The sequence below is a fragment of the Homo sapiens genome, chromosome 1, assembly GCF_000001405.40.
Source record: "Homo sapiens chromosome 1, GRCh38.p14 Primary Assembly".
Lineage (NCBI taxonomy): Eukaryota > Metazoa > Chordata > Mammalia > Primates > Hominidae > Homo > Homo sapiens.
This window is the reverse complement of record NC_000001.11, coordinates 100382620-100398800: the sequence shown is the minus strand read 5'-3', so window position 1 is coordinate 100398800 and position 16181 is coordinate 100382620. Positions and strand designations below refer to the sequence as shown.

Genomic DNA, 16181 nt, shown 5'->3' with positions numbered 1-16181 from the left:
TTCACCTTAGTATCCTCAACTCCAGGAACAAGGCCTGTTACATGAAAATACCTCAAAAAAACATTTGTTAGATAAATTCATATTTACCCAATTGTACCTATTGCCCGCTTTAAACAATTGTTTATTGCTCACCTGTCCCACATTTTAAGCTAGGCATTGTTTATATGTATATATATTTTATTCCCTAGAACCTACCATAGTGCTAGGAAGGGCTCATAGTAGCTAAACAAAGATTTACTGAACTAATGAATACCTGACTACAGATCTCACAAATTCATTTGGTTTAAACAAAATATTCCCTTAAAATAACATCCTTGGAGAGAAATATACTCCTACCTTCCAGTGAATTATACTAAGCAATAATCAGATTAACAACCATATGAGTGTTGTTACTGAGCCAAGGAAGTATTTAAGTGAAAAATATGATGGACAAGAGGAAGATGGGCAGACAGAAAGAGGGGAAGTAGCTGTCCGATCATCAGGGAGGTAGCCCAAAGGGTCTACGCACAAAAGTGAGTGATAGGAAGTAGGAGACTGGGTCAGAAAACTTTGTGGAAGGCCACACAGCTTCCCTGCCAGGGCCACCAGACATTCCTAAGTGCATACAACGTCAGACACTGCACCGATGACACCTTTATATAAATGACCTCCTTCAGTCCTCACCGCAAGTAAAATAGGGTATTATTATGCCTATTTTAAAGATGAAAAAAACAGGAGTTTGGATAAGTTAACTTGCTCAGGGCATACAACTAACAATTGGATTCAAAGCCCAGTGAGCCTGTGGCTATGTTAAAGTCATTGCTCACAACCACTAAGCCAAATGGAGAATGGCTTCTTTGCAATTAGTCACAGACTTAGCAGTAGAGTATAACTACTTAGGTCTTAAGTGTAGTCTACAAAATAAATAGCCAACACAGACATGGTTAGACAGTCTAAAAACCTCAGGCTTGTTATTCCCAATTCAGACATGACATCTGGTTCAGGCTAGTCTCAGTTAATCCACAATGTAGACCTCTAATTTAGCAATGCAAAGACTTAACAAGTGGGTAAGGAAAGTATATAATGTGGCTACCACCTCTGTTTAAGCATCCTCCACATAACAGAAAAAAAAACTGTATTTCTTTAACTCTGAACTTAATTTTCTAAGCTATACAGTCACACTTATTTTAACATCTTCTCATACATATTATTTTCCAATTCTTCAGTCACGGTGACCTGATCCAAATTCTCCTTGACCTAGGCCTGCAAAACTGAAAACAATATAGTAACACAGGTACTAGTGAAGACTTGGTCTTTAAGCACATGGCAAGAACCTAATTAATTCATACTCATAATTTTAAAAAGCCATCTTTTTCAAACTCATATCAGAGTGTTTTAGATGCTACAATGATCTAAACATCCTAACTTCAAAACTGCACTGAGTGTTGCCCTGGAAGGGAAACACCTTTCTGACAAAGCTGGTCTCTTCTTAAATCTGAGCCTTCCATCTCAAGGAGCACAATGTCACAATGCAGGGGGTGAAGAGATGCTCTACTAGTAGAGGCATCCCTAAAATGGGTGCCTAGCATCTGCTAAGTGTCACTGTGGTCTCCAGTGCCCACATCATTCCAGCAACCCTGGCTTTAAGATCACTGAACATGATGGTCTATATCAGGGTGTCTAATCATTTAGCTTCCCTGGGCCACATTGGAAGAAGAAGAATTGTCTTGGGCCACACATAAAATACACTAACACTAAGGATAGCTGATGAGCTTTAAAAAAAAAAAAAATCTCATAATGTTTTAAGAACGTTTATGAATTTGTGTTAGGCCACATTCAAAGCCAGCCGCAGGTTAAACAAGCTTGGTCTATATTTTATCTCCTTTTTGATCCTTATGACAGCTCTATGAGAGAAAGCATAAAAAGTCTCCCCCCACTTAGATATAAGGAAATAGAAACACAAAAGCTGTGAAATACTTGAAGTCATTATCTAACAGAGAAACCAAAAGTGCCACAAGATGGCACACTCAAAAGTAAGCCATGGTGTTTGTGGCACAACAGTTGAAAAGTAGTTAATGCCACTGAGCTGTACATTTTAAAATGGTTAAGACAGCAAGTTTCATGTTACGTATATTTTACCACAAAAAAATTGGGAAAATACAAGTTTATTTTTTAAAAAAAGGCTAGGTAGTGATGTAATTTTGTATACTTGTTACTACCCTTGGTCTATGCTCTTTACTTTGATTCTGTATCTTTAAAAACCAAAGTTGGCTCAGTCATGACTACAAATATTCTGGTAAAGGGGAAGACACCACTTTATACCTTACGTCCAACTTCATTATTTTCAGGAGTTTCCCATATATTACCTTCTTTCTTTCATGTTTTGTCATCCCATTATTCATTCACTCAAAAGATACTTACAGAGCACCCATTACATACCAGGCACAGCTCTAAATTGATAGTGTTCAAATACTGAAATAGTTCTATACCAGTTGGTAAATAGCTGCAGCCCACAGCACACCACTCCACTCCACACTGGCCATCCTAGTCTCTTCCTTGGGACCCACGCCCACCCCCTAGGCCCTAGACTTCCCCAAGATTCAGCAAAGCAAGAAGCCTCCAGGACCCTGTCCCAGCTTCCAACTCAACGGGTGAATACCCGGCCTAACCCCTTGTTAAATATTTTATCACCCTCCACACACAGCGACGAACAAAACAGATAAAGTCCTTACCCTCTAGTCTGGGAAAGAGATAATAAGCAAGTAAATGCATAAACAAAGTAATTTCAAATAGTAGCATGCTGTAAAGAAAATAAAGCAACAAAGGTCTAAAGGATGACTAGGGGTGGAGGTAACAGGGTAGAAATTAAGAGAAAATCTCTCTGAGAAAGTAACATTAGAAAGAGCCAGGCATGCAGAGGTCTGAAGTAAGAACATTCCAGATAGAACAGAAATATCAAGGCTCTTTGGTAGGAACAAGCATGGAATTTCAGTTAGAAGTCCAGCATGAGGGGAGCAACTTGAGCAAGGAGACCACAGAGGTAGAGAGGGTCAGATCAGAAAGGATCTTAATGGCATTGGTAAGGATAAATTTTATGCCAAGATCAGTGAGCAATAACAGATTTGAAACAGGGTAATGACGTGATCTAATTTACAATTTTAAAAGACTACTCTGACAGTTGTATGGCAACTAAATTAATGGGAAGCAAGAATATAAAAAGGAGACAACATATAAAGCTGTGGTCATAATCCAGGTGAACAATGACAGTGGCTTGGGCTAGGTGATAGCAACAGAGATGGAAAGATACATTCTGATTCAATATGTTTTAGAGGTAGAGCTGACCAAACTTACGAATAAGTAGAATGTGGGATGAGCGAACAAAAGAAATCAAAATGACTACTCTTTTGATTTAGCAAGTCACTGATGGTAGTCCACTTACTAAAAAGGGAATGACTTGGGAAATAAATACATTTAGGGAGAGAAGGAATAAAAACTTCTGTTTTGTCACAATAAATTTGAGGTATCATTTAGATGTATAATATGGAGCTATCAAACAGGCAGTTGGATATTTGATCTTTACAATAATCCTGTGAAGCAGATAAGGAAACTCAGGTATTATCCAAATTTTACAAATGAGAAAACTAAGGCTTTGAGAAAAAGGTTTGTCTTAGTACAAAATACTTTTATTAGTCAGTCAATGCCACTTAACAGAGGGCCGATTCCACATTTTAGGAACAGGAACACCTTCACTCTTAAAGACTTCTGTTTGATAAAATATACCTACCTACCTAGCTTGCCTCATGTAAGTTACATGGCTGCTCCGAAGGTAAAGGTCTTTTGTATCCAGAGAAGATTCCCCCAGAAAACGGACACTTATCCAACTAGCAACATTTAATATATGTAAATTTTAACTGAGATATATGTATAATGGATATTATTGACTATCTTACAAGACTGTCAACAAGTAAATACATACAAACAATACGAAGAAAGGCATAAAATTCTCTTTAAGGATCCACTGCCAATTTTTAGTTCCGTGTGTATTAAGGGTTTGTGTCAAAAAGCCCTCTGGGGAATACAGTTACAAAATTAGAAAAATCAATTGGGACATGACCAGTTCAAGAATAATCACTTCACACTGCTTCTCAAGACTGTAACTAGTGTGTAAGACAAGCTCATGCTGTACTCAGCACTTCTTCCACCATGCTAGGACTGCTTTTTCCCCTTTTGGTTGCTTTAAAGTGGTGGAAACTTCTCCATCAGAAGACATATTTTGTCACAGAGTATTTTGTGACAAGCTCAACGCATCTAATTTAATCCTTTCAAAGTTCTAGAGGCACCCTGCTAAAATGAAGAACCACACTAAACAAAACAGGAAGAATAGGTGTTAAAAAGGAAAGAAGAGGTTGGGTGTGGTGTCTCACATCTGTAATCCCAGCACTTTGGGAGGCCAGAGCAGGGGGATCACTTGAGGCCAGGAGTCCTGAAGCCAGGCTGGGCAACAAAGCAAGGCACTGTCTCTACAAAAATAAAATGAAATTAGCTGGCTGTGGTGGCACACACCTGCAGTCCCACCTTCTAGGGAGGGCTGAGGCAGGAGGATCGCTTGAGCACAGGAGTCTGAGGATACAATGGTCTACAATCGCACCAGTGCACTGCAGCCTGTGGGGCAGAGCAAGACTCAGTCTCAATAAATAAATAAATAAATAAGTAAGGAAAGAAGAGAGAGAAGATGCAAGGGAGGGAAAAAGGGGTAAAGAAATGAGAAGAGTAGGGCAAACCTGAGGTCCCCAGAATGGCAGGCACAGGTTTGGTGGCTGGAGAGGTTGAGGTGGATGCACTGCTATATATATATATATTTTTTTTTGCGGTGGGGAGGGGGAACAGAGTCTCGCTGGGTAGCCAGGCTGGAGTGCAGTGGCGCAATCTTGGCTCACTGCAACCTCCCACTCCTGGGTTCAAGCGATTCTCCTGCCTCAGCCTCCCGAGTAGCTGGGACTACAGGCTCGCATCACCACGCCCAGCTAATTTTTGTATTTTTAGTAGAGACATGTTGGTCAGGATGGTCTCCGTCTCTTGACCTTGTGATCCGCCCGCCTCAGCCTCCCAAAGTGCTGGGATTACAGTCGTGTGCCACCGCTTGATTGATATTGACCACTTGATCCATATTTTGATCAAGGTTATGAAGCCTCTGGTGTGCAGGAAGCAGCTGCAGTGCTGGTGGAGAAGTAAACTCGCAGATACCAACCTACTATGAACTACCTGAGATACCTGACAGTCCTGGATTATTCTGCTTTTGAAACTGACATGATGAGAAATGAATTTGAGAGACTGGCTGCTCGACAACCAACTGAATTGCTCAGTATGAAACGATATGAACTTCCAGCCCCTTCCTCTGGTCAAAAAAATGGCATTACTGCATGGCAAGAATGTGTAAACAATTCTATGGCCTAGTTAGAGCATCAAGCAGTTACAACTGAGAATCTGAAACTAATGTCACAGCATGGATGTAATGCCTGGAAAGTATACAATGAAAATCTAGTTCATATGATTGAACATGCACAGAAAGAACTTCAGAAGTTAAGAAAACATATTCAAGATTTAAACTGGCAGAGAAAGAACATGCAACTCACAGCTGGATCTAAATTGAGAGAAATGGAGTCAAATTGGATATCTGTAGTAAGAATTATGAGACTGAACGGACTATTTTTCAACTAGAAAATGAAATCTATCAAATTAAACAGCAACATGGAAAGGCAAACAAAGAAAACATCCGGCAAGACTTCTGAAAAGACAATTTCGCGGGTAGAAAAGTTGGGCTCTCACAAAAGGCATCTGAACTTTTAATGAACTGTTAAGGACAACAGCAACTTCCCAAAACCATTGATGTTTAAATGTTTAGAAATCATAGAATGTGTGGGCTGCTGCGGTAATTCTATTTGTATATCTCAACAGAATTAAAATGTCTAGCTTGGTGATATTTTTATAGCCATAAAAAAGAAAAACCTTTAGGCTTTCAAAATAAGTATGACTTCAGAATAATATTATGTCACAGAATTAATTTTGAGCCATGTGGGCCATGTTTTGTATCCAAGGATCTTTATTCAAAACTTTCAACATGTACAGGAAGTTGGAAACTTTTGGTTTATTACCTTGTCTAATAAAGAGATAGTTCTAAACACATTCTTGATTACCAAACAAGACCTCAGAAACACAGTGACTATACAGAGTCATCGTTACCATCATCATCATAGATAACTGCTATATCAAGCTTAATATGTGCTGAACACTGTCCTGAACACTTTGGGTAGATAAACCAGACGAATATGAATAAAAATCATTTGGTCCTCACAAAAAAAAAAAAGAAAGACGTGCGAAGAGTGGCAAATGACCTCTTCTTGATGGCAATCCTTTATGAGAAAGGATCCACAAATAACACGCTTACAAAGCATCACAAAACCCTGCAGGAAAAACACGTTTGTTTACAGGGCTTGAATCCAGAAATTAGTACAGTCTTTTTCCATATTTCAATCACAGTGTCAATCATCAATTTCAAATGAGTAGTCATTATCAATGTAAGGTAAAAAATATTCAGCTTACCAGAACTTCACTGAACCTTCATGCTAACTGCCAGCTTTTCATGTATGCTCTTAAAATAAAAGCAATAGCCTGGCTGGCACTACAAATACTCTCAGTATCCTAAGAACTGAAAGGAAATGTAGGGGTCATTACATCCAACCCTCTCATTTTGCGGATAAGGAAACTAAATAAAGCTGAGAGAGATAAAGTGCATCATCACAGAGCCCTTCAAGATGAAAAACATGTTTTCTGACTCTTAGACACTATTCCTTGTACTATACCATGCTATCTACAGAGCAAGAAAGAATGCTGCCACAAGGGGTAGGCCAAGGGTTTATTGCAGCTACATCAAGGGACAAAAGGTGGGCAGGGCTGGGCACCTCAGTGCTACAAGCAAGGCCCCAGCCCACAGCCTGGCTGACAGTCTGCCACTCTTCTCAGCCTGCACCCTGCAATAGCTGACAGCTTTTCCAGCAATACTGCTGGGCTTTTTCCCCTAGAGCTTTTGGGTTGATGGGGCAGAGTTTGAGGTCTAGTAGCTGGTGCCCTCTTCCCTCAAGGTCCTTAGAATGAGGCCCTTGAAAAGTCACTCAGCAGGGTTGCTTCCATGGCTTCAGAGGAGCACGAGCCCTCCCCAAGGATGAGGGGAAATGATACCTCTCTGCTCCCTGCCTTTAAACCAGCATATTCCCAGCTGATATCACACATATCCCTGCAAGTATGTTTTAGCTCTGATGGTTTCTGCTTTCTAAGCTTTTGCCCAATCACAGCATATATAGAAAATTCCAGAATCACCACCTAAAACTCTACAGCATGGTCATGTGGAATTCATACTGACATGTTAGTGTCTGCAGAGAACAAAATTTCTAATTGAAATTAGTTTTGGAAAAGTCTCTTGTAGTTATTAGGGAAGCTATAATATATGCAGGATTTATATTCAGTTTGCCTACTGCAAACAATTGTATAAATTAATGAATGGATTGATAAAAATAATAACAATCCTCCCCTGTGCAATCTAAGGTTTCCTCTTCTCCCAAAAAACGAACACGTCAAGTCTTTTAAAATCTTCCATAATATCATATTTCATGCATTTAAACATACACACATGCACACACACATTTTTTTTTCCTAGAAATGTCCTTGGTAGGTATTCTTTTTATTAAAATACCTATATAACTGTGGAATTCAAGCTACATATTGCAGTTTCAAGATTCTCTCATTAACTAGTAGAAAATAAAATCTAAAGAGTAAACATTCCACCACTGCTAGTCCATATTTCTCACTACAGATCAATTCCCAAACTGCTAATAATCTCCACCGTCTCTCAATCCCACTGAAAAACTGGTTTGGATTTTCTTTGACAGTGTTAGCATTTCACTGGCCTGATTATAGAAAATAATCATGAAGAAGGTACTTACTGCATAGGCACCTATCAAAAATGCTGCATTTGCTCTTTTCCGTTGGTCAAAACAGGTGTAGTGCACTATTTTCTTTCTTGACAAACTGTATGACTAGAAAGAGGAGATAAAAAGAGTTAGTGTAACCATAGAGACAAAGTTAACATATACAGAAGGCAAACATCATCTCTTAACCTTCAAGATGTGCTACAACCCATAAAATTTAACAACTTTCAACTTTAATTTCTATGGCATTTGAGGGTTAGAGAATTACTAGCTCAGATTTTGTACAGCCCAATCATAATGTAAGAATCAACAATATAATTAATATCTTTCTCTCCCAGAAAAGAAACTAATATGGTGGAAAATAATTAAAATATTGGCATCTCTATTAACTGGAAACATTTTTGACTATTTATTCTAAATCTTCTACAGAAAGTCTCTTCACACTTTGTTACCCCCTACATGCCACTCCAACTCCCAGGAATATTATCTATAGTTTTCATATAACACAATTTTTTAAAATGTCAACCAGTTTACTATGATCTCCAAAAAATCGTATTTTTGAAGACCAATATTAGTATTTTATTTCTGGGATGTTATATAACAACCCCCTTTTAATATCTGAAAATACTTGGTTAATGGAAAAATACCATTAAAAAATTATATCAGCAAACATCTTAATACAACACATTACAATAGCCATCTATTAAATTCATGAATTCAGACAGTTATTAAGCACCTGTTATATGCCAGGCAATATGCTGCATGCTCAAGTATTTAACTAAGTTCAAAATAATCAACATGGTATGTTGTACACATGCTAAACATGAAAAGAAATGACAAAAAGATCTGGTAAAATGAAATCAAATTATTAATCAAAACTCGAATAAGTATAAGACAATGAGAACACAATGTAACTCAATGAAATCTGCTTGATTTCCTCACTTTTCAAAATTTATGTATTTTGACAATTGATTTTCTAAATATAGGTACATAAACTGTCTTTAATGAGCTAGCAAAAAAAACACAGGCACAAAAGTACATTTCAGTATTTGTCTATAAATTCACATTGACTATAAAAGCAGCTTTTTCTATCTTATACATTGACTACAACACACAGAAAATCCCTGCTTTTAGAACCTCTTTAAAAAAGGTAAATAGAGCTCAACTATGTACTTTTCTTGATCCTGCTATTGTCTACAAATTAAAAAAAAACTCTTCCATCTCTGAAGCCCGTTCTAAGATGAAACTGCAACACTCTGGCTTTACCATGTAACCACAGAAAGTGTATCCCTCCAATGAGCCAGGAAATCTTCACTCCAAGTCAGGCATTTCTTTTATAACCAAAAATCATATATATATATACACATATATATATATTTTTTTTTTTTGAGACAGATTCTCGCTTTGTCACCCAGGCTGGAGTGCAGTGGCGCAACCTCGGCTCACTGCAACCTCCGCCTCCCAGGTTCAAGCCATTCTCTTGCCTCCCATGCAGCTGGGACTACAGGCACCCACAACCACGCCCGGCTAATTTTTGTATTTTTAGTAGAGACAGAGTTTCACCATGTTGGCCAGGCTGGTCTCGAACTCCTAGAATCACATTATCTGAAAATGGCTGTACCCTTTTATCTTTTACCTTTTTTTTTTTTTTTTTTTTTTGAGACAGGGTCTTGCTCTGTCACCCAGCACCCAGGCTGGAGCGCAGTGGCATGATCTGGCTCACTGCAGCCTTGACCTCTCAGCCTCAATCGATCCTCTCACCTCGGCCTCCTGAGTAGCTGGGACCACAGGCACATGCCACCATGCCTGGCAAATATTTGTATTTTTCGTAGAGGTGAGGTCTTACCATGTTGTCCAGGCTGGTCTCGAACTCCTGGGCTTAAGTGATCCACCTGCCTTGGCCTCCCAAAGTGCTGAGATTACAGGCATGAGCCACAACACCCAGCCAGTAGTGCCCTTTTTATTAAACTTTTAAAAATTAGTATGTAAGGCCAGGTGTGATGGCTCATGCCTGTAATTCCAACACTTTGAGAGGCCAAAGCAGGAGAATCACTTAGGGCTGGGAATTTGAGACTAGCCCAGGCAACATAGTAAGACCTCATCTCTACAAAAAGACTGGATAGGAGTATCACTTAAGCTCAGGAGATGGAGGCTGCAGTGAGCCATGATCACACCACAGCAGTACAGCCTGGGCAACAGAACAAGAATTTGTCTCAAAAACAAACAAACAAAAATCAAACAAAAAAAATTAGTATTTGACTCAAAGAAAGTATCTTATTGCCAATGCCCTTATTTCCTGACAGGTTTATACAAATACTCCTATGAAATAAAGAGAGAACAAAGGCACAGCATTTAATTCAGCTCAGTTGAGTTGATGCATTGAAGTTACCTAGGGATGTAAAGGTTACAACCAATGGTGCTGACACTTGATTCTTTGCTTTCTCAATTTGGAACTACTGACTGCCTGAACATTGCCTTTTTCTGTTTTATTTCATTGTCTCATTGTCTGTTGGGTGGTTGGTTGGTTTTGCCACTTATTTGTTCCCCATCAATAAGTTATGTTTGATTTACCAAAAAGGAAATAAAGGCTCTTCAGACCTAAGCATCTCCTATCATCTCTGAATTGCAAATATCTAAATACTGCCTTACACAGGCCAGGCTCTCAATAAACATGAGTCAGACTGAGCATAGGGACTCGACGCTCTTATGGCTCCCAGCCTCTCCCTATTTACATTTCCTAATTCCCTAAAATACCTGTGGGGAAGAAAATATCAACAGTCTATCTTCAAGTCTGGATTATCATTTTTGATGCTCTTTTCTACTAAGAATTTAGGTTTTATGACAAACTACTGCTATTGGTTAATAATGTGAAACTGTATTTATTTTACAAATCTACTTGCTGAAAGGGACAAGTTATAGTGCTGTTCTTTCATCACTGATGCTTATTTCTTCCTTGGGTTTTTTTGGAGGGGGTTGGGGGGAGTAGAATCTTTTGTGTTTACTTGGTTTCGTTTTTTCTCTCTCGCATTCTAAAGTATATAGAATACAGAGACTTATCCTGGAACATGAGCCATAAAACTAAAGGACAGAACTCTGAGGAAGACTTTCTTTTCACTGTATAGCTATAAATATTATTTAAGTAAATATAATACAAATTAACACTTTAAAGATTTTAGAAGAATGCTTAAACTTTATAAGCTTTCATAAATTACATCAGATAGAGAATGATCTTCACAAAATCTTCCTAGAAACTTTATTTTAAAATATTTCCTATGAGAAACTCCCCACAGGAAGCAAACATAACTGACTTCTTTTTAGAGCTTTCTGCCTGATTTTTAGGAAAATGTTTAAAGCTGCTAGCATTTACTTTGCTTAGGTATTTTTGGAATTCAGTTTCCTCGGTTAAGTTTCAAAAGCACACCAGCCAAGAAATGATTTCCTGCTTAGCGAAGCTTGGCCAGCATCTCCGAGGTCAAATCACTGAGAGGTGAGTTCTCTCACTCGAGGAATCAAAACGAATTCAAAGTTAATGAGAGCAGAGAAAAATCTACTAATCTCAAAATTAGACCTTGTCCTAATTTCCTAATTAATTTTCTAATTAATCTCAAATTTGCTAATATCAAAATTAGGCCTTTTGCTAATGTCTTTCCTTTTCACAACTGGGCCTCCCTCTTATGGTCATCCTGGCCCACAGTTTTCTACCAGTGATGCTGTTCAACAGAGAAGATACTTTGGTATTGGAATAAAAATTTGAGGGGTAACAAAATATTTTGTCCGTTGTTTAGCTGATGTTTTATATGAGTGGGCTGATTTAAAAAAAAAAAACTCTTTAATGTTTTTTCCTCTCAAATTTTAAGCATGTCCCCCACTTAAAAAATACTATTACATAATCAAAGCACCCTAGAAGAAGCAATACTAACACCCAGTGGAGACATCGATGATTGAAGTACCTTCTATGGAACATTAACTTCTCTTTTGAGATCTTTCATGGAAGAACTTTACCATGCAGACAAAGTCACAGTTTGGAGACAATAGGACAGGACTCTATGTATGAGCCCAGTCAATGTTTTCTCAGATTCTGCCCTAATATCAGGAGAATATCATGCCTCTAAATTGGACAGTGGCCTCTTCCTTACTCTGGTCTGTCTCCTCTGTAGCTGGGACCACAGGAAGGTGTCACCATGCCTGGCTAATTTTTGTATTTTTAGTAGAGATGGGGTTTCACTATGTTGGCTAGGCTGGTCTTGAACTCCTGACCTCAAGTGATCTGCTCACCCCAGCCTCCCAAAGTGCAGGGATTACAAAGCAAATATGATGAGTGGGCCCTTCAAGGAGAACACTTGCAAGGTTACATCATAGCCACAGGCTTTCAATGAGCTACCTGCTCTATTACAGATTATTTTCTGCTTTACACAAGAAGCTCACAGGTTACAAAAACACTGTATGCCATAGCAAAGTGAAGTTTAAAATTGGTCAATTCCAATAAATACAGTGTAAATATAAAATAGAGAGGGTCACAGAAAGAATACTGAGACCTCTGGACTATTTGCCAGCTCTGTAGCAGCACAGCACATGACCCATTACAAATCACAATCTGCAGCCAGCCACTATCCACCTTATGTTTTAGATTTCTATCTTGAAACTGGAACAAATACTCTTCTTTTTTTTTTTTTTAAATACTATCTCACTCTGTCACCCAGGCTGGAATACAGTGGCATGATCTTGGCTCACTGCAACCTCCACTTCCCAGGTTCAAGCAATTCTCATGCCTCAGCCTCCTGAGTAGCTGGGACTACAGGCAGGTGACACCACGCCTGGCTAATTTTTGTATTTTTAGTAGAGATGGGGTTTCACCATGTTGGCCAGGCTGGTCTTGAACTCCTGACCTCAAGTGATCTGCTCACCCCGACCTCTCAAAGTGCGGGGATTACAAAGCAAATACCCTTCTGAACTTTCTAAACTGAAGTGGACATAGCCAGCCCTCTATAATAACCGCAACAACAGCTCGCATTTATTGCTCACTTGTGACATTCCACCATTATCCAAAGCAATAGGAATGGCACCAGAGGGGTCCAGTTTAATCAGACACATAACGTCTCCCAGACTAGGGGTCCTGGGCAAGGCTAAAATATAATGAGCACACTGTGTTTTACAAGGAGAACATAAGCCCAGAGTCAGAGAGGGCCTTTGACGAACATTTACACAGTAAGAGTAGTAAGCAGGATCAGTCCAAAACTTTCTCACAGAGCCTGATAATTTGTGTAAATCTTAATTATGAGGCCATAACAAGTTTCATGCTTCAGAATTTGAATAATTCTCAGGTTGAATTGGTCAATAGTACTAAGACTTTTCAGAAATAACTAAATCTAACTCTAAACCACATTATATTATTATTGTATTATATTTCATTCTCTTAACAGATTGGTTCAGAATCACCTGCAGGGCTTATTAAAACACAGATTGCTGGGTCTCACCTCCAGAATTTCTGATTCAGTAGGGCCTGAGAATTTACATTTCTAACAGGTTTTCCAGTAATGCTGACACTGTTGGTCCAGACACCACACATTGAAATCCACTACTCTAAGATATGGCTAAATTTTGGAGAAGCACTACATAAACATGTAACTGGTCCCACCCCTGGGAATCTTTTATATGAAGCTAAAACACTGTCCATCTGGTCAAGTAGTCTCGAAAGAACTCTACATTCTCTTAAAAAGGAATTCTAAATCATGCAATAAGCCTTTTAAAAGCATTTTACAAAAAACACATTTCCCCAGATTCCTCAGCAAACCTTATTACAATTTGTAAATTCATGCATTCCAGGTGATAACACCTTAGGAACAAGTCCCTTTAATGATTCCGTAATTAAGCTGCCTTAAATGTCATTATTCCAGAAGTTCCAAATTCAGATGTTCTCAGGTGCCAAGAATCTGAAGTGGGGCAGCTGGTAAATAAGAAAAGCATTCCCTATCCAAAGTGCAGTAAGCTCCAACCTACTGCTCTTGTGAGGGAATCTGGGTGCAGAATGGTCAGATACTGCAATATTTAAAAGAAGACAAAATTGAAGCTTTCATAAACTGCAGATGTTGACTATGAATTAAAATTTTTTAAACAGTGTTTAAGCTCAAGAAAACATGTCTGTGGACAGAATGCAGGCCACAGGTGACCAATTTGCTAAATCTGGGTGCCAGGATACTGCGGCTGAAGAAGGTTCTATGGGTTCCATCAGCATGAATTGAGTAGCTGTTGTGTGTCAAACACTTTGCTGAGCAATGCAGTGACAAGGGGAGAAGAAACCCACTCTCTAACCTCAAAGGCTAATGAATATTTAATGCAAAATATTGGCCAAGGCTTATTAAAAACAGAGGAGAATAACTGTATAGGATGCATTTACAGCACACAAGGACCAATAAAATGATACTAATTACAGGTACAGTAAGTGTTTCATTTAACAAGGAAAAAATATAGTAGATAAAAGGTGGAATTTAGTATTGACTATCAATTAACATAATCAAACCTATAGAAATTTCTGTATTGCTTACCTGAGAGTCAAAGTTTTGCCCCTGTTATGTAAATCATAAGTGTATATCATAAATACTTAATGGTACTTATAAACCAAAGTACAATGACTGCTATGATAGAACAATACAAATTAAGATAAGGGTATTGACCCCAGACATTTTCTATCTTGGAAAGAAAAGCTATGTGAAAGGTTATATTCTAGTGGGATCACTCCTTGTAAAACACAAGCCACAGCAACTTGGAGAGAGAAAAAAATAATGACAAGCTGCACAAATAACAAATAGCTCAGGCTACACTTGGATTATGGCAACAAACACAAATCATGCACTTGTTCAGCTTCAGTCAGGAGAGCACAAACTACTTAACCATTCAATAACAAAAGGTGATGCAATTAGGCTCAAAGCCAAAGCCAAAAAAAAAAAAGAGTTAAAGGTCAATTTAAAGAAACACAGAAAAGTAAAATCTTCAAGTTATTTGGTTAGAATGCTGTATTTAATTAAGCTGTATGAATCAGTCTGACTGAGCTAAGGAAGACATTAATGCAGCCTGGATAATATGCTCTTTAATAAAAATAGAGCCCATGCACCTCCTAAACATGCAAGTTCTGTCAATGATCATGGTCATATTAAGGAGATCACAGCACAGGGACCGCAATGACCAAGGCATCATTCTCTTACAGGTGGCTAGGCTAGCCCAGTAATGGCCGCAGCAATCAGCATCTCCATAGCAATCAGTGGTCATCTCACTGCAAAAGCGATAAAATGAGCAGGTCTTCCTGTGAGCAGCCATGACCTTTACAAGTTTTACCTCCAACTTTCTCAGGAAAGGAATACTCTGGAAAATGTTCTTTGGCTGTACAAAACAAAATATGGTTTATGTTTTTTATTTAGTGCCAAGATGAAATAGATCGAATCATTTCTTTAAAAAGAAAAAGGTGTCTCTGTGTGGCCCACTTTGTTTCAAACCCAATACATTTCATTAATGAAATGGCACATTTGATTAAAGCAGAAGTCAAAATGTCAGAGAAAAGTTGCTCATGAAGATGATTTCATCGTGTTAATAATCAATAATTGAAGGCACGTGGGATTCTCTATAAACGGGGTTCTTCCTGCCTGAGGATTCCTAACAGGCATAAGGGGTTCTTGCCTTGCAAACTCGGTATATGCTCGCTCCTATGGGAGTTGACATTGCTTTGGAGCCCCTAGAACCTCTTTAAACTACATGAACTATCTCCAGAATGTAGCTTGCTTTTCTTCCCCACAAACCTATGAGCCAGAAACAGAAAAGAACCACATGAAGAAATCTCAACATGTTTTTGTAGTTATAATAGGGTGGTCTAGTCATTACATCAAAAGAGTTCTGGTGTATATAACCCCCGATAGGGTGGCAGGTGCCTGGTTTACAGGATAGGATTATGGCACTGATTCATTCAGCAACAAGGACATTCCCTAAGCCCCACCATCTGCCAGGTACTTCCAATGCTTCAATATAATGGTTGGTTTCATGATACCCACCCACTTCCCCTTTTACCCTGAAAGGGCTATATGGGATGTTTTGTAAATTTAAAATTACATTTCTGTGAATACTCCTTTAATCCTTTTTTAAAATAGTCCTCAAGATTACTGTAATTATCCTGTTGATTCATAACAGCAGGTATTAAAAAAAAGAAAAACCACTGCCCTAGAAAATGTCCCCTTT

The 16181-nt window shown here is 38.6% G+C and overlaps 1 protein-coding gene and 1 pseudogene across 6 annotated transcripts in view; one reads left to right on the top strand and one right to left on the bottom strand.

Annotated features, from left to right (window-relative positions):
* Positions 1-16181, bottom strand: part of CDC14A (cell division cycle 14A) — a 175277-nt gene that overhangs the window by 121477 nt on the left and 37619 nt on the right. For all 6 annotated transcript variants that reach the window (NM_001319211.2, NM_001319210.2, NM_003672.4 and 3 more), the window contains exon 4: positions 7977-8069. In NM_001319211.2, coding sequence (NP_001306140.1) covers positions 7977-8069 — 93 coding nt within the window. The remainder of the gene's footprint in view (positions 1-7976; positions 8070-16181) is intronic.
* Positions 5143-5965, top strand: BCAS2P2 (BCAS2 pseudogene 2; annotated as a pseudogene).